This window comes from Homo sapiens, chromosome 2 (assembly GCF_000001405.40).
Source record: "Homo sapiens chromosome 2, GRCh38.p14 Primary Assembly".
NCBI lineage: Eukaryota > Metazoa > Chordata > Mammalia > Primates > Hominidae > Homo > Homo sapiens.
Genome location: NC_000002.12, coordinates 115,035,224 through 115,055,316, shown reverse-complemented (window position 1 = coordinate 115,055,316; position 20,093 = coordinate 115,035,224). Strand labels below are relative to the sequence as shown.

General features: G+C 35.8%; 1 protein-coding gene across 10 annotated transcripts in view; it reads right to left on the bottom strand.

The window, feature by feature from the left end:
* Nucleotides 1-20,093, bottom strand: part of DPP10 (dipeptidyl peptidase like 10) — a 1,403,140-nt gene that overhangs the window by 790,464 nt on the left and 592,583 nt on the right. Inside the window, exon 2 of one of the 10 annotated variants that reach the window (NM_001399849.1) lies at nt 5,098-5,169. The exons of the other annotated variants lie outside the window; for them this stretch is intronic. The gene's annotated coding sequence lies outside the window, so the exon portion shown is untranslated. The remainder of the gene's footprint in view (nt 1-5,097; nt 5,170-20,093) is intronic. 10 annotated transcript variants of the gene reach the window in all.

The window sequence follows — 20,093 nt, the reverse complement described above, 5'->3', positions numbered from 1 at the left end:
GTTGCATAGCTCTGTAACTTATGAAAATTAGATTAAAACCAGGACAAGCTTTATGGAAGTTCAAGAGAATGATGGAAAACACAGTTTTCAGGAGTCTAAAGTAGTCAAAACATTACTAGTTGGTGTCATCTTTCTTTAATAAGAGCTAGCCTCTTTGAAAGAAAACAGGTTGGATGAGGAATAAGAAATGGCAGCCAAGGTAGACCAATAGCATGGTTTATTTCAGGCACCATACAAATAAACAACAGCATTATTGTTAAAGCAGAGTGGGCAATTCAAAAGGAGTGCTGAAATAAAATAATAATATTTGAGGAAAGAAATATAATAAAAGGTAAAATCCAAACCTATTATATTGTGAAAAGAAATTGTACATAGCAGGTATGATATGTTTTTCTTTCGTTTTTTGAGACAGAGTCTTGCTCTGTCACCCAGGCTGGAGTGCAGTGGTGTGATCTTGGCTCACTGCAACCTCCATCTCCCAGGGTCAAGCAATTCTCCTGCCTCAGCCTCCCTAGTAGCTGGGATTACAAGCTGTGTGCCACCACGCCTGGCTAATTTTTGTATTTTTAGTAGAGACTGGGTTTCAGCATATTGGCCAGGCTGCTCTTGAACTCCTGACCTCATGATCCACCTGCCTCAGCCTCCCTAAGTGGTGGGATTCTAGGCATGAGCCGTCGCCCTGGGCCTATAATATGTATTTCTAAAATAAAGATCAGACATGAGAATATCATAGACTGAAGGTTAAATTAAGCAAGTAAACTTTAGTTGTTTAGTTCCAGCTTTAGTTTAACTAAGGTTGCTACAAGAAACTACAAAAAATGAACCCAACAGTGCACTTTTTTTCTAATAATATTATTGAAGGGACAGTCTACTGTGTCATTTGGTGAATTTTGCAATGGGCTTATGTATGGAAATAATGAAAGACCTAGATTAACAGATATATGCTTAAAAATTGCTGTTAGGAAGAGATAAATGTGAAGTTCATTAATGTCAACTATCTGACAGCTAAAAATTCTCACTTATATGAAAGTGGACCTCCTCTCTACCTTCTTTTACATTGTTCTAGGACTCTAAGGAGCCACAAAGCATTTAATACTGAAATCAAAGATGATAATAATAATCATATTACATAAAGTAAAGCTTCCACGGGTTTCTGAAGATTAAGTTAATTCAAGTCTTAGTATAATATCATATTTATCAATTGACTGATCTCTGTGAACCTAACATATTAGCTGCTCTATCCTACTTGTAGCTATGACAATAAATCATATTTTTTGTATTCAAATCTGAAGGCAAGAATTCGACAAAGCACTGCCAATGATAATATGTTACCTTCCTTCCCCCAAGCCAGGAAATTAATAAATTTATTAAACAACTACTTATTGATATGCTCATTATTTGTAAGTCAATAAGCTAGTTGCAAACAGTTAACTAAACAAGAAATATTTGTATCCTCAAAATGCTTATATCCTAGTAAAAATGTACTGTACTAGACTCTACAAATGGATATTGGGAAAACCTGATTTAACATGATTGTGAGTTTCAGACCAATAGTTGAAAAGAAAGGTGTTTTCATCAAACAAACCTCACATAGAATGCACAACAAGCCATGAAATATATTCTCATTGTTTTCCATATTAGTATGTATATTGAAAACTTGTATTGGAAATTTTTTTGTAAATGTTTAAAAACAGGGATAAAATTTACCATTTTAACGATTTAAAAATGTAAAATTCAGTGGTCTTTAGTAAAATCACAATGGTGTCTAATTATCACAACAATCTAATTGTAGAACATTTTCATCACTCTTGGAAGAAAATCCATTAATCCGTCACTACCAATTCCTCTCAGCTCCTGCCACTTGCAACCACTAATCTGCTTTATGTCTCCATGAATTTGTCTATTTATTCTGGACATTTCACAATAATGGAATCGTACAATATGTGACCTTTGTGTCTGGCATCTTTCATTTAGGATAATTTTTCAGAGTTCATGGATATTGTAGCGTGTGCTAGTACTGTGTTGCTTTTTGTGGCTGAATAATATTCCATTACATGAACATACCACATATTGTTTACCCATTCATCAGCTGATGGCCATTTGGATTATTTCCACCTTTTGGCTACTGTGAATAATGCTGCTCTAAACATGAGTTTTCTTATGAACAACTATTTTCAGTCGCCTGAGCTTTATCTGGGAGTGGTATTACTGTGTCACATAATAACTTTACGTTTAGGTTTTGGAACTGCCTAATTGTTTTCCACAGTGGCTGCATCATTTTATACTCCCAATAATGATGGATCAGGGGTGCAGTTCTCTCACGTGCCCACCAACACTTAATATTTTCCTTTTTTTTTTTTTTTTTGAGATGGAGTCTCCCTCTGTCACCCAGGCTGTAGTGCAGAGGCAAGATCTCAGCCCACTGCAACCTCCGCCTCCCAGGTTCAAGTGATTCTCCTGCCTAAGCCTCCTGAGTAGCTGGGATTACAGGTGCCTGCCACCGCGTCCGGCTAATTTTTGTATTTTGAGTAGAGACGGGGTTTCGCCATTTTGGCTAGGCTGGTCTCGAACTCCTGACCTCAAGTGATCTGCCTGCCTTGGCATCCCAAAGTGCTAGGATTATAGGTGTGAGCCACCACGCCCGGCCTGTTTTCCATTTTTCTTAGCCATTCTAGTGGGTATGAAGTGGTATCTCACTGTGGTTTTGATTTGCATTTCTCTAATGACTAATGATGCTGAGCATCTTTTCAAGTGCTTGCTGTTCATTTGTATATCCTCTTTGGAGAAACGCTTATCCAGATCACTTGCTGATTTTTCAATTGTGTTGTTTATCTTATCGGTGTTGAATTTTATGGTCTTTACATATTCTGGATATTAAACCCTTATGAGATATATTATTTGCAAACGTTATTTCTCATTTCATGGGTCTTTTTTTACTTCCTTGATAATATATTTCAATATATAAAAAGTTTAATTTTGATTAAATTTAGTTTACCATTTTTTTCTTTTGCTGCTTGTGCTTTTGGAGTCATACTTAAGAAACCACTACCTAATTCAAATATATGAAATTTGCACGTATATTTTCTTTTCAGAGTTTTGTAGTTTTAGGTCTTACATTTAGGCGTTTGATCCATTATGAGTTAGTTTTTCTATGTAGTGAGAGATAGCGGCCCAAACTCCTTGTTTTTCTTTTCGATATTATATTGTCTCAGCACTGTTTGTTGAAAAGACTATTCTTTCTTTACTGAGTGGTCTCAGCACTTTGGTTGAAATCAATTGAACATAAGTACTAGGATTTATTTCTGAACTCGAATTCTTTATTTAATTTTATTTTCTCAGCTTTTACAAGTATAACTGACAAAAATTGTATATGTATGCATACACGGTGTATAACATGATGTTCTGATATATGTACATATTGTAAGATGGTTAAATCAGGCTAACATCTTCATTACCTCACATGCTTATCATTTTTTTGGTTATGAGAACATTTGAGATCTACTCTCTTACCAATTTTCAGGTGTACAATACATAATTCCTAACTATAGTCACTGTGCTGTATGCTACATCTCTAGAGCTTATTCATCCTAACTGAAACTTTATGTTACTGCCATAAATTGTCTTTTTATATTGTGTGTCCACTAGCGTAGATTTATAATTATTGTTCTTGCTATTGTCTTTTAAATCAGATAGCAAAATAGAGGAGTTAAAACAATAAATGCATTTATAATGACTTTTACATAATACTTTTATAATGCCTATTTATTTACTATTAACCATGTTCTTAATTTCTTTGTGTGGATTCAAGTAGCTGTCTAGTGTCCATTAGTTTCAGTCTGAAGTACTCCCTTTAGCATTTCTTTTAGGACAAGTCTATTAGTGAAAACTGTTTTTATTTATTATGGAATGCCTTATTTTCTTGGTTGATAGTTTTTTTTTTTAGTACCTTAAATGTGTACTTTTTAGCTTCAGAATTTCTACTTGATTCATTTCTTAAATTTCTTTCTCTTTATTGATACTCTCTATTTGGTGATACATTGTTATCATTATTTTCTTCAGTTCCTTGGGCAAGATTTTCTTTAGTTCATTGAACACACTTAAAATAGCTGATTTAAAGGATTTGTCTGCTAAGACCAATGTCTCAGGTTAATCAGAGGCAGTTTATATGAATGGCTTCTTTTCCTGTGCATGGAATATACCTTCTTGTTTGTTGGCACGTCTAATGCCTGTTGTGTTTGTTGTTGAAAACTGGACATTTTGAGAATTATAATGTAGCAAGCATGGAATTCAGGTTTTTCTCTTCTCCAGAGTTTCATGTTCTGTTTGTTATGGTGATTGTTTGTTTAGTGACTTTTCTGAATTAATATCATAAAGTCTGTATTCTTTGTCATGTGTGGTCAATAACATCTCTTTTCTGTGAGGTTAGTAGTCAGCTAGTGATTGGACAGAGATTTCTATACTTGCCTGGAACCAAAAACATCTCCCAGAATTTTGAGATGGGCTTCTGTGTGTTAAACTCTAGTGAGGCCGTGTACCATCCCTGCCCTAGCATTCACTTCTTGCCAGCGCAGAGACCGAAGGTTAGTCAGTGGCGAGAGATTAATGCCTTTTTCGGTTTTTCCTGAGGATTTGCACTGCCCTGTACCTACGTGTGGCCCTCTGGATTCCCAGAATATGTGAAATTTTCAAAGCCTTTATTCCCCAAAGCATTTCAATCTCCAGCCTTTCATCCTAAGCTTTTAATTAATCTATTTTTTTTTGCCCCAACTTTTATTCACTTCCCCAGGAAACAGTGACTATTATATTTGCCTGTGAACATTTTTGACAAACATCCTTGGGGTAGCAACCTCAGCACTGGGAGAGTTCCATGTTATGAGACATTAAGGCAAGCACTTTTAGCTTGACTTTAAGCAGGTCTTTCAGGGAGCTACCAGGTGGGCTAAAACAATTATTTGTGAGCGAGGTCTGTTTTGCTCCCTCCAGCACTGATTACCTGTACTAGAAATACAGTACATTTTCATGACTACCATCACTAAGATGAGGAGTATGGGATGGAACCAGGGTAAGTGTAAATACCTCAAAGCTCATTGTTCTTACCAAGATTCAGTAGGTATTTCTTCAACAAATGGTCTCCCAATTTCTCCAGCATCTTAGTTAGTTTTCAGAATTCTAGAAAAGTCAAATTAGACAAGATTTTTGTTGTTGTTTGCCTAGCTTTTGTGTTGTTTTTATGAGGAGATGAATTTTCAAGTTTCCTACTCTGCCCTTTTTGCCCTTTTGGAAATTTCTTTTGAAATAATTCTTCCTACGGACTTACGGAATCGTAATGTTGTGGTTAAAAAAATTATTATAACCTGATAGGTGAGCCAATCTTCATTTATTTTCAGTTATCTTATGACTGGCATTTTATTTTCACAATTTCTGTCTCATTTTCTCCCTAGCCTATTCCAAAAAAGATTTGAGGTAACTTACATATGTTCAAATGTCACTTTAAAAAACTCTATAAAGATAAAGGTGTCAGAAAAGGGAACCATGAGAACTAAATTGTCGGTTAAAACTAGGAAGAAGAGTGCAGAAATGCACAATGTACTATTTTCTTCACACATGCCATCATGAACTATTTGGAATATAGTGAGTATATCAGATCGGCTGGAATGAAAGATTCAGATACGGAGTACTTTTGATATGAATGAAGGCAATATTATTTTCTGATATTGAAGGAACATAAATTACAATTTAGAAAAGGAATGGCTTATATCAAATTTCTGTAGTCTGAGTTTAAAATAATTTTCAACATCTTGCCTCAGTTCCCATAACTATATTGTTATAAAGTCAGCAAATATTGTCTCCATTGCATAGATAAAGACAAGAAATGAAAGGCTATAAAGTAGATCGTTTTGGTAGTAAAACAGAAACTGGAGCTGGCTCACTACAGTCTGATTGACTCTCTTTTCTCAAGCTTGGTAAGAAAATAAGCAATTAAGAGTGGCGTGTATAATAGTAATATAAATGGGCATAGCACACTATCTAGCATACATTAAGTGCTCAATAATGTAACTCCTTATTACCTTTGCTGCCCAACTTCATCATTATTATTATTTGTATCATAATAAAATTAATGAGTTATTAAATGAATTTTAAAGACATTTTAAAGGAAAATTACACATTATTGTACCAGTGCTCTATAAATTTCATTTCTCATGGTTCAACTCATATTTATTATGTATTAAAAAATTGTTCTTTTAACCATCCATCTACCAAACCACCCATCACTCATTTAAAAATATTTTAAAAACATATTTTTACTAAGTATTTGGGATTAAACTATGGGAAAACATAGCCCTCTGCATGTAATTTACTTACAGATGACTGGGCAAACAGAAGAATACTTATAACATCAGTAAATGACAACTGTTAAAATAGGGAGAAACATAATGAATTATACATGCAAATTTAAAGAAATTATGCAAGCAAATTTGGAGAACATAAAATATTTCTTTCAAGAGTGGAGGAGAAATCATCTAAACCTTTTGTAAAAAGATCTAAGATCAATACATGCTGGTAAAGTGTAGGAGAATACATATATGAAGAAGAGGAGATACATGTAGAAAGTGCACTGTTATGTAAAATGGAAAGGTATTTGATATAATTTGGTATAACAAGACATTGAGAGTGATGAAGGGAGCTATTTGGCATGAGGTGGCAAAGTGGACAGACCCCAGATCATAATAGTTCTTTTATGCTACCCTGCTTAGCTTGGACTTTATCATGAGCCAAATAAAAAACAACTGGTGATTTTAAGCAGGAAATTAGCTTATGTCTACATTTTAGAAACATCACTCTGGCTACTGAATAAGCAAGTGTTTTGAAAGAAGCAATTTTGAAGAGTTACACCAGTTAGAAGGCCAGTGCAAGCTAAGTTATAGATTAACAATGGCTTGACCTACGATAGTGTCAATGGGAGATAGTGATAAATTCAAGATATATTGAGAAGGAATACTAGATAAGACTTACTGATTTATTAGATTGGGGAAAATACTGATAATTTGATTTGGCCGCTGGTAGGCATGCTGGAGCTACTCAGTTGAGAAACATTGAAACAAGGGAAAAGAAGCTGATGATGGGAAGAGGGTTACATATGTTGGGAGCATATAAATGTACATATACAATACGCTGTTGACCGTGGCACTGTATCCAATATAATGGACAATCCAAAAGCATAAAACATGCTTCCAGTCCTCCATGACTTTACAATGTGGTCAAGGAAATAAAACATTTAATGTAACAGTAATCATAAAATATGAGAAATCATTGGAGAGTAAGACTAAGTTATGAACACAGAAACTATTACAATTTTCAGGGCAGAGAGTGAACTGTGGGAACAGTAGGTGAGAGAACAATTCATGACAAATGGAGGACTGAGGGATAGAGAGATAGAAGTCACATTTAGATAAGCAGGTGAAAAGCAGTTTCAAAAGAAAGAAATTTATTGGAGGCTGGTGTAGGTGAGAATCAGCAAGAAGTAATCTAGCCTCTCTTTTTGTTACTAATATCTGTGTTATGTATCACTTTGGGGTTTTTTAATTTTAGAAACTGTCTTCATTAAGCATAGTATTTATTATTAAATTCTTGTCTTGAGAGTACAACTGAGCATTTCTTTTCATATCAAGGTGCTTTTTTTTACATTTTAAAATGCTTGCGTAATTCACATTGGCTATTGTTATTTTACAGCATTTAGACTCATAAAACAAGAAGGGAGTAAACATATTAAAATTTTACTGTTTAAAATAATGAAAAAGACACGGTTAAAATATAATTGGAAATAATTTTTACTCATGAAAATATGACCAGAGAAAAATATTTTCTGAGGTTGAGACACATTAAAATTAGATTGAATACACTGTTTTTTTCAATCACAATGTAATAGTGATTAAAATATTCAAAATTTAATTAACATTTAGTATTGTTGGCAAAGAGCGATGACATTATAAATGGACTTAAAAGGATAAATGTAAAATACATTTGTAGAAATTAGATAACTGATTGGAAGGATCCAAGTATGATGAAACATTTGTTTGATTTATTCAACATTTATTCTCAGCATGAGTTGTCTATTTATTCAGCGTATTTCTAATTTATAAAGTTTCCAATGTATTCTGTGGATCAAGTATTATCTTAATTGTTTAATGGAACTGTATACAAACGTCACTTCTGTTAAAATCATTAATTCTCAACTGCTTTCAATAATAAATGGTAAAAATATTATAGGAGTGATACTACTTCAATTGTGGTATCTGACCATGAGCTGAATTGAATGAGAGTAAGGTTCATGGTTAATATGTACCAGATGAAGCTTATAAAACAAAAAATTAAAATAAGAAATATAGTCACATGTTTCAATCTGCAATTATGTTTAGGAAATGGTAATTCTGATTTAAATAATCACAGGAGACAACAGAAAATATAAAACTAAAATAATTAAAATTGATGTATAATAACTTCCTGCAAAGAATGAAAAGAACTGAAAAATAATATTATTAATAAATTATTTAACAAATATAATGCCTCTGTACATTTAAGTTAATTATATGTGGTTGTGTTCTTCACTCCATAATATTTTTGGACAATTGAATGTTTTGGTTTCATCGTTTACAAGGTATTTTCCAGATGTCCCCTATATTAAAGTAAGCTGCTACTGCCAAGCATTAACTATTCAAAGTACAAACTAAGGTGAATTCTGTGGTTGGAAATTACAAACAGTTATCACCCACTCTTATTTGGGACAACTTCACAGAGTCAAGATAGGACTAATTGGATGTAATATACCTTATGGCCCTTTCGAGAAAAATTTCTGTTTTATTTCCTTACCCAAGCAGAGAATCACACTATGCTTCTTATTAAAAATGCCCAGGGGTTGTGAAGGCTAAGAATCTATTTAAGCTTCAAAGTCTGCAAGAATTCAAATGGTGTGATTTTGAGTGGAGATCTTTGATTCACTAAACAAGAATTATTTCTTTTGTAACCAGAATTAACTTTGTCCTTGTCATTGCTACATTGTCATTGTCATTGCTGACATGGTCATTGCTCTAAAACAATATAATTTGTTGAAATGATAATTTTACAGATGGAAATAATTTTAAGTTGCTTACACCTTGGTTAATTACTAGAATCTTAAGTTACCTCCCTATCTCACCAAAATGTTGATTATCATTGCTTTTACATGAAAACAGCTGGTCAATTCAAAATTACCAATAGTTTGAATCTATTTGACATTAAGCAACACACACACACACACACACACACACAGACACACACACACAGCCTTTCAGCACACACAAAATGGCTCTCTTATGCAAACACAAGTTTGAGAAAATTACTCATAAGATTAGTAAAAGGAATCAAACAAAACCCCTATAAACTAATAGAATTGATAAATCAAAATTACTGCCTCTGCAGAGCAACATGGCCAAATAGAACCCTCCAGTGATCGACTCCACAACAGCAACACCAAAGTGAACAACTATTCACACAAGAAAGCACCTTCAGAAGAACCAAAACTTGGATGAGTGATTACAATACCTGGTTTTAACATAATATCAAGAAAAGAAGCATGGAAGAGGGTAGGAAAGACAGTCTTGAATTACTGATACCATCCCTCCGCCGTCCCCTGGTCTGGACCACATGGCACAGAAAGAAAATCAGTGCACTTGAGAGAGGGTGAGTGCAGTGATTGCGGGACTTTGCATTAGAACTCAGTGCTTCCTGGTCACAGTGGAAAGCAACACAGGGCAGAATTCAGCTGGGTAGAAGTAGAAAGTTTATTCAAAGAAATAATAAGATAGAACTTTCCAAAGTTAGAGAAAGATATCAACATTCAAGTACAGGAAATTTATAGAACGCTGATATTTAACCCAAATAAGATTACCTCAAGATATTTAATAAGCAAACTCACAAAGGTCAGAAATAAAGAAAGAACCTTAAAAGTAGCAAGAGAAAAAATAACACACAAAGGCATTCCAATATATCTGGCAGCAGACTATATACAATATATCAATATATCAGTCCAGGAGAGAATGGCATGTCATATTTAAAGTGCTGAAAGAAAACAAAAATCTTTTTATCCTAGAATATTCCTCAGGAAACTAAAAATAGAACTACTATATAATCCAGCAATCCCATTGCTCGGTATGTACCCAAAAGAAAGGACATCAGTATACTGAAGAGATATCTGCACTCTGTATTTATTGCAGCACTATTCACAATAGCCAAGATTTGGGATCTACCAAAGTATCCATCAACAGATGAATGGATAAAGAAAATCTGGTACAGTACACAATGGAGTACTATTCATCTATAAAAAGAATGAGATCCTGTCATTTGCAACAACATAGATGGAACTGGAGGACATTGTGTTGAGTGAAATAAGCTGGGAATAGAAAGGCAAACTGCATGCTGTCACTTATTTGTGGGATCTAAAAATTAAAACAATTGAACCTATGGAGATAGAGAATAGAATGATAGTTATCAGACATTGGGAAGGGTAGTGGTAGTGAGAGATGCAGGGGAAACTGAGAATGGTTAACGAGTACCTAAATATAATTAGATAGAATGAATAAGATCTAATATTTGATAGTATAACAGGTTGATATGGTTTGGATCTGTGTTCTCCCCAAAATCTCATGTTGAAATGTAATCCCCAATGCTGGAGGTGGGGCACCAGGTGGGAGGTGATTGAATCATGGGGGCAGTTTCTAATTGTTTAGCACCATCCTTCCAGTGCTTTTCTCATGATAGAGCTCTTGTAAGATCTGGTTAGCATTAGGTGATATACCTAATGTTAAATGACGAGTTAGTGGGTGCAGCACACCAACATGGCACATGTATACATATGTAACAAACCCGCACATTGTGCACATGTACCCTAAAACTTAAAGTATAATAATAATAAAATTAAAAAAAAAGATCTGGTCTTTTAAAAGTGTGTGGCACCTCTCCCTTCTCTCTCTGTTTCTCCTTCTCTGGCCATGTGAGGCATCTTACTTCCCCTTCACCTTCTACAATGATTGTAAGTTTCCTGAGACCTCCCCAGAAGATGCTATGCTTCCTGTACAGCCTGCAGAAGCGTGAGTCAATTACAGCTCTTTTATTTATAAATTACTCAGTCTCAGGTATTTGTTTATAGCAGTGTGAGGACGGCCTAATACACAGAGTGATTACAGTCAACAAAAATGTAGTATACATTTAAAAATAACTAAAAGAGTATAATTGAATGTCTGTAACACAAAGAAAGGATAAATACTTGAGGCAATGATTATCTCATTTACCCTGATGTGATGATTACACATTGCATGCCTGTATCAAAATATCTCATGTACCCCATAAATATATATACCTACTATATACCTATACAAATTAAAAATTAGAAAAATTTTTTAAAAAATTACTGCCTCTGCTCTTCACCTGTTAAAATATATAACTGACCGCAAGACAGTGCCTTGTATAAATAGTAAAGAGAAGGAGCTTTGATATATTATGTGTACAGAGACTCAAAGTTTCAAATGAAAGCCAATTTTTAAACGTTTTCTCCATAATTTTTAAAATCAATGGGATATTCTTTAGCTTTTTTCCTTCATGATGTTTGACTTGCTAGTGAGTACTGATGTAACCAGCAGACATGCAATGAGGAGAGAGAATTAAAAAATCTAGAACGCAGTTAATTTACCAACTGACTGGTCAATCCCTGAGTAATGAAGAGTTTACTATGTAATCTGTGGTAGTTATTTACGGTAGGCATCAGCCACTGAAAGTTATGAAACTTTGTGTGTTTCCATTGAAGAAGACTTTTTAAATGCGTAACTACACAAATTGTTGACATTTGCATGCCTAAATTTTGTGATGAGGGTACTTTGAAAAAACAACTTAGCAAAACCATGAGGTCTCTCTCTAATTTTGAGATCGTAGTATGTTCATTTAAGGCCAATCAACTTATTTTTCAAGTAAGACTGACCTTTTCGAGATTGATTTTGATGAATTAGGTGATGATGCATCATTTCTAATATTCAAGATTGGCTATATCAGTCATGCCACATTACATTATATTTTAAAGAGAAAAACATTGACATCATAATATTTTTCTCTATTAGCACATGAAGTATCAGTCAGAGGCTCTAAAAAAATAGTTTGGCTCTCATAATTCCTTAAATGAATTGTTTTAGTTTGCTGTAAAGGCTTAAATATATTCCAGCACCACTGGGCCAGGGAAAATGTACTATGTCTCTGGGCTACAGATTTTGGCCTTGGTCAGATAACACTCTTCATCCAGCTAATTTTGCATACGCCATTGCTGAGATAAACTATTAAAATGATGAAATTATTTAACATTCAAAATATCATGAAGTCCAAGGGTTTCACATGAAACATTAGACAGAGTCCTTGATTATTAGCTGCAACTTCAAAATGATATACAAGTATACACTATGAGGTGGGAAGAGGAATACTGCTACCAGTAAGGAAATATCAACATAGAGCAGATACTATACAATAGATTATAGCATGAATTGAAACTGATGGATCAAGATGGCTTGAGGAGAACGCTAGTTCTATTTGTGACCCTCTGCTCTTTGAATAGCTCATTTGTCCTCTCTATCTCTTGCCTTCCTGATCTACAGTAGGAGAGACCAAAATTAAGAACTATTTCAGCTCTAACACTCCGTGCATCAATAGCCAAGAGTAAAATGTGTTCAAAATATTAGGCCAAGTGTGGTGGCTCACGCCTGTAATCCCAGCAATTTGGGAGGCTGAGGCGGGTGGAGCACTTGAGGCCAGAAGTTTGAGATCAGCCTCGCCAACATGGCAAAACCTGTCTTTACTCAAAATACAAAAAATAGCCAGCAGTGGTGGTGGGTGCCTGAAACCCCAACTACTTGGGAGGCTGTGGCACGAAACTCACTTGAACCCGTGAGGCAGAAGTTGCAGTGAGCCAAGATCACACCACTGCACCCTAGCCTGGGCAACACAGTGAGGCCCTGTCAAAAAAAAAATAATTACAATAGCAATGACACTAGATATTTATGAGGACCAACTCTATGGCAGATAAAATGTTAGCATTTTACTTGTATTGCATAATTTAAAATGTATAGCAATCTTTTGAAACTGGCTTTGTTTTATCCATTTTACAGATTGGGAATCCGAGAATCACTTAGCAGGTAGGTGCCAAAGCTTGAATTCAAACCTAAATTTTATTGATTTCCTATGTTCTTTCCAATAAAACACAGGTTACTTATTGCAAAAAAAAAAAAAAAAAAAAAAGATAAGATAGAAAAACAGTTTAATTTGAGAAAAGGAAGTAGAAGCATCTTAATGACATCTCTACAGCTGGAAAACCAACAACCAACAGAATGGCCTATTGACAGAGGACCTGTGGGCTCATGGCATTTTTGTTGTGTTACAAAGGGCACCACCTATTTCTGTAATATGCTTTCTTAAATCACAACATTACTCAAAGTCATACCAAATTCTCATGCTAAAATGATGAAGGATAAGGTCAGCAAGAGATTTCCAGGTATCTGGACACTGCAGATTTATAACTCTTGTTAAAATTCTTGAGGCAGCAAGGGTGTGACCTAGAAAGATATACTGTGTGGAAAAACAGAGTGAATGGGCTCCACTGTGATACAAAAGGGAAGAATAAGGAAACACCACAAAATTGCTGTTACTATGAAAAATGTACATAGAATACAGATTGTTAATGCATAAGAGCTGAAATGCTTAAGTTGGTATCCTGATTTGGGTCATAAAAAAAATCACTAAGCTGGAGATCTCTGCTTTATGCTACCTCATAAGCAATATCTCATAGTTAGGGAGAATGACAAAGAACCCTCCTCTCCTGGGTTAATGCCAGGCTAACCACAGAGTAAGAAGCCAATGATTATTTGTTTCATATGCTACAAGTAGTAGATACCAGAAATCGTATCAATGTGAGCAGGGTTCGTATCCCTTGAAATTTAGTTAAATTGCATCATCGTGTAACTTAATTCCATTCGCCAGGTGTATTAGTTCATTCTGGCATTGCTATAAAGACATACCCGAGACTGGGTAATTTATAAAGAAAAGAGATTTGATTGGCTCATGGTTCTGCAGGATGTACAGGAAGCATGGCTGGGGAGAACTCAGGAAAACTTTTTTTTTTTTTTTTTTTTTGTTTTGAGCTAGGCTCTGTCGCCCAGGCTGGAGTGCAGTGGCCTGATCTCGGCTCACTGCAACCTCTGCTTCCCGGGTTCAAGTGATTCTCCTGCCTCAGCCTCCTGAGTAGCTGGGATGACAGGCACCCACCACAATGCCCGGCTAATTTTTGTATTTTTAGTAGAGACGGAGCTTCATCATGTTGGCCAGGCTGGTCTCAAACTTGTGACCTCAAGTCATCTGCCTGCCTCAGCCTCCCAAAGTGCTGGGATTACAGGGGTGAAACACCACACCCGGCAGCCTCAGGAAACTTTCAATCATGGCAGAAGGCGACAGGAGAGCAAGCTCATCTTACATGGCCCATACAGGAGGAAGAGAGTGAGGGGAGAGGTGTTACACACTTTTAAACAACCAAATCTCACGGCACACACTCACTGTTACAAGAGCAACACTGAGGGGGAAATCCACCCCCAAGATCCAGTCACCTCCCACCAGGCCCCACCTCCAATGCTGGGGATTACAATTTGACATGAGATTTGGGCAGGGATACAGGCCCAAACCATATCACCAGGTGATCACAGAAAACCAAAAAAGAGTAGGAATGTTTAATGCAGACATGGTCAGCTGTGGGTAAAGTCCTTCTTCTTTCCTCTTGGTTTGTGCTCCAAATTGTGACTGTTTACTCTATTTTTAAAAATTAGTCAACTATAATTTAGTTCACTTAATTCAAACTTTTAGAAATATTTATTTTTTTCTAGAAAAAGGTACATATGAGTGTGTGACTAACCCTGCTAACTCTGAGGAGGGTTAAATAAATAGGATATGAAGAAGGACTTTACCCACAGATGACCATGTCTACATTAAATATTCCTACTCTTTTTTGGTTTTCTGTGATCACCTGGTGATATGGTTTGGACCTGTGTCCCTGCCCAAATCTCATGTCAAATTGTAATCCCCCAGACATCATCTATGTCTGTATTTACACAGTCTTTGAACGGCTAATTGGATGGCTTAATCAGGTAAAGGTTTATAAGTATCATGTTGTTGAGTACTTGGAGTTGGTGTTGTTATTAAAGCATTACTTCTAGTAAAATTACTTCTTATACTAGCGGTCAAGACCTTCCCAGTGGTTTGTTTTTGACCTGGAAAATTTTGTGTGCACATTTTTTTCCCTTAGTCTTCCTCCTGTATGGGCCATGTAAGGTGAGCTTGCTCTCCTGTCGCCTTCTGCCGTGACTGAAAGTTTCCTGAGGCTGCTGGGTGTGGTGTTTCACCCCTGTAATCCCAGCACTTTGGGAGGCTGAGGCAGGCAGACGACTTGATGGCCCAATGGAGACTTGCTGATGGGTGTATACATTTCTTTGTGGGTAGAGTGCGTCACAATTAATTATTGTGCCTAACAATATGCAGTCTTTAGAACCCAAAACTACCAAAAAACCTAGGAATAATTTTTTAAATGATGGCTTAAAAATCATTCATGCTTATAAAAGATTAACACAAAATAATTTTTCGAATGCACCTGCTCTGCAAGAATAATGTCACTGACTGAGGGAAAAAAATGTGCACACAAAATTTTCCAGGTCAAAAACAAACCACTGGGAAGGTCTTGACCTCTGGTATAAGAAAACATGTCATGCTTACCCTTTCCTTGGGGTCAGAATGCCTACAAACTCTCTCAGAAACACAGCTGTTTCTTTTATATGTTCCCTCAGAAGACTACAATTTGCAGTAACAAACCATTTGGAGTTATTGTTATTTAAAAGATTTCACTATGTTTGACAATTAATTTATCTGAAGCAAAATATAATAATTTATCAGTTCAAAATTATTCAATAGACTTGTATCACCTATAAGAGAAATGTCAGATACTTAGCAGGACATATCATTCTCTTCAATATCTGATCCTTTACTTTCTGTCCATCATTTCCAATTTCTCCCCTGTCTCAAAACTCACCCTCCAGCAAAACCAAGAAATGTTAAGTTCCCTACACCCAGTGTGTTCTCTCATGCTTTCTGCCGTTGTGCATTCTGCTCCATAAGGCTAGGATACCACTGTCCTTCTCTGTCCATGTGCCCTGGAAGCATCTTCTGGCCTTCTCTGTCTCCTCGTGAATTCTTGCTTCCTTCCATACTTCCATTGACCCTCCTGTTTGCCTCATATGTAATATTTTCACCATAAATTTTTCACAGGTTTGTTTGATTAAGGGCTTCGGTGATCTGAGTCCCAGAAATCTGAGCATTAGGATAGCATAGAGGTTAAAAGGAAGGGCTCTGATGAAAGAGATACGTATTTAAGTTCCCAATAAAATCCATTCTAGCTCGGTGACTCTGAGCAAGTTATTCTACCTCTCTGGGCTTCAGCTTCCTTACTTGTAAAGCGAGAGTAATCACTGTCCCTCCATTACAGGGTTGTGACAGTTAAATGCAGTAACTTATGTGACAATTAAGGAGACTCATCAATACGTAGTAAAAGTGGTTAGTAAATATTTGCTTTTATTATTATTTTAAATACTATCTAAATCCCTGGCTCAAAGAAGAAGCCTAATAAATATGTGCTGAGGCTGGGTGCAGTGGCTCATGCTTGTAATTCCAGCACTTTGGGAGGTAGAGGTGGGCGGATCACGAGGTCAGGAGATAGAGACCATACTGGCTAACACGTTGAAACCCCTTCTCTACCAAAAATCTGTTAAAAAAAACATTAGCCGGGCGTGGTGGCGGGCGCCTGTAGTCCCAGCTACTCTGGAGGCTGAGGCAGGAGAATGGCGTGAACCCGGGAGGCGGAGCTTGCAATGAGCCAAGATGGCGCCACTGCACTCCAGCCTGGGCAACAGAGCGAGACTCCATCTCAAAAAATAAATAAATAAATAAATAAATAAAATAATAAATAAATAAATATTTGCTGAGTAAAATAAAGAAGTGGATGAATGAAGATATGTTGTGCTAACTCTGACTTGTGGTGTATTTGTATCAATTCATATTCATTGTTCATATGCCCCTCCACCAGGCAAATATCCAGACGATAACCCATCTTAAACTACATATCACTATCCCTTAAATTTTCAGTGCCAATAGAAATAAACAAACAAAAATAAGAAACCCAAGTAAAATATAGTAGTTGAAACAGATTCACCTGAGAAATGTTAAAAATAGAATAATATGTGATGGTAGGATTCAAGTTCTGGAGAACTTTTTAGGTGTGTCTCCCACAGCACACACCAACCATTCCACATAATATCATTATATGGTTGGCTCCAGAAATCATATAGACTAGATTATTACTCTTTAGACTTTGAAGTACATGTGAACCACTGGATGACAAGTTAAAAGACTCTAATTTGGATATAATTGGAATGAGAAATGTAGATACCGTTGTCCTTTCTCAGACCACACTTAGTGGAGCAAAGCAGTTAGATCAGTGTGCAAATTTTTTAAAAGCAAAAGAATTAACTAGGTTGCTTGTTAAACATAAAGACTTTGGAAGCTCATGCACGGAAATTATAATTTGGAGTCAATCCAGGTGCCTGCATTATTAACAAATTCCCATGGTACGTCTCATGTAGTTGCTCTAAGGAACATGCTTTGAAAATCACTGCATAAGAAATACAAGCTTCTCGAGGACAATTTTATTGGCCTTTAGTTTCTTTTGCCTGCCGGAGGCCCTGGAACTTAATGGCTGCAAAATGTATGTTTGTTTTGTAAATAGAAGAAAAAAATATGAATGAATGAATTAAAAATTCACCTGAAAGTTTTGAAACAATGTGGACAGAAAGGAAAAAAAGTATTTTTGCCACATGCATATGTGTGTAATATCTGTAAGTCTACGAAGATTTTCCATAACAACTTTAGTATATTCGTTGTTTCTCTCCTCCTTTCACGATCTTTTAGTTTTTTATTACGTATTATGGGTAAATAGCAGTATTTAGGAAGTAGTAACTAAATGGTAGAATGTAACTATTAATATTAAGACAATTTGTAACCAAATGGCTGTTTTTAAGTTTGTCATTATACCCCTCCATATGCTGCTCCCTGAATCTCACATGATCTGTATTTAACTAATGAGTTCTGGTCTGTTTTTGTTGACAAATAGCTCCCATGGCAGCTCAATCCATTTAAAAAGTGAGAGGAATGACAATGGCTCCCATTACTTCTCTCCCTCAGAAAAAAAGTCACCTGGTCCTCCTCTGGCACTAGTTTGATCCTGAGGCCTGAAAAAGTGAGTGATGAGAGATGATTCGTATCTTGCAGAGCTGGGGGAACTCACAGATAAATTTCTTTTCTATATTTTAATTCGATTCTAATGCAGAAATTTGGGAGTTTCTTTCATTCTCCTAAAAGAAACTTAAAAGTAAACAACTTTTTGTTCTAATATTTAATTGGAATATCCACATAGAAAATAGGTTAATGAGCATAAAGTACTTTGAAAAAAACAGTGAAGTAAAACAAACAAACAAATAAAAACCAATAGTGCTCACATGCAGCTTTAACTGGCGAGCACTTAAAAAGCAGAAAGTAGTTTGTCTGTTTAGCTGCCAGTGTGAAAATAAGAGCAAGCATCTCACTCCTTATCCTCAGGTTTCCTTTGGTATCCCTTTACAATGGTGCGATAATCAAAAGCCACTTATAAAGTGTTTGTTTAAAAGGAGACTGTAATAATTGGACTAAAAATTCTTGCTCTTATAATAACAAAATAATAACATAAGAATAATTCTTACTACCCTAAGAACAAATCTCATCATTTCTAACCAAAGAGCATTTTAGGGCTTAATTATTGATACGGTTTGGCTGTGACCCCACCCAAAATCTCACCTTGAATTGTAATCCCCATAATCCCCACACGTCAAGGACAGGACAAGGCGGAGGTAATTGGATCATGGGGCAGTTTTGCCCATGCTGTCCTCGTGATAGTGAGTGAGTCTCATGAGATCTGATGATTTTACAAGGGTCTGGCATTTCCTCTCTTTGCACTTACTCTGTCCTGCCACCCTGTGAGGAAGGTGCCTGCTTCTCCTTTGCCTTCTGCCATGATTGTAAGTCTCCTGAGGCCTCCCAGCCATGCAGAACTGTGGGTCAATTAAACCTCTCTCCTTTATAAATTACCCAGTCTCAGGTATTTCTTTATAGCACTGTGAGAATAGACTAATATAATTACATATGTCTTTTATCTTATAAAGGGATTCACTGATCTCTCCCTTTTATGTGGGAAAACTAAGAAAACATTATCATCCAAACATAGGGAGCATTGCACACAAATGTATCAGAGGAAAAAGGAACATTCGAATACAAGAGTAATCATAGTAATAGTTAATTGTATTAGATGCTAATCAGATACCTGTTATATTCTAATTGTTTTTTGTATATAAATGGTATAAATCCCATGACAACCTTATAAAGTAGTTTCAGCATTTTACAGGTAAGGAAAATGAGACACTGAATGGTTTAGAGAATTCCTACCAATTTATATTTGGGGTATAAATGTAAAGGATGTGAGGAATGAAGTGGGTTATAAAAGCAGTATCTACCATAATTATAATCAAAGAGTAGGTTGGCTGAGAAAGTGAAATGTAAGAATTGTTTTACTTCATTCACTTTACAAGCAGTTTTTAGGAATTTGTTGTGTGTCAAATATAAGAATCGTTCTGAAAATAAAAATATAAACAAACCTGAAGCTCCTCCTTCAAGATACGTTGGAGTTATGATTAGCTATTACATAATTACTGGACAATAAACATAATATTGTAAAAATATGATATTGTGGAAACAATTATTTAAGATTTTGTGTTATAAAAATGGGCTTCTACAAATTTACAAAATAGAAACCCTGAGGAGACAGTACCCTGTTCTGCCTGACTGGGGTAGGGATGGAAGTGTACAGGGAGCTAGGTAGGGAAAGAGTAATGTTTAAAATCAAGATT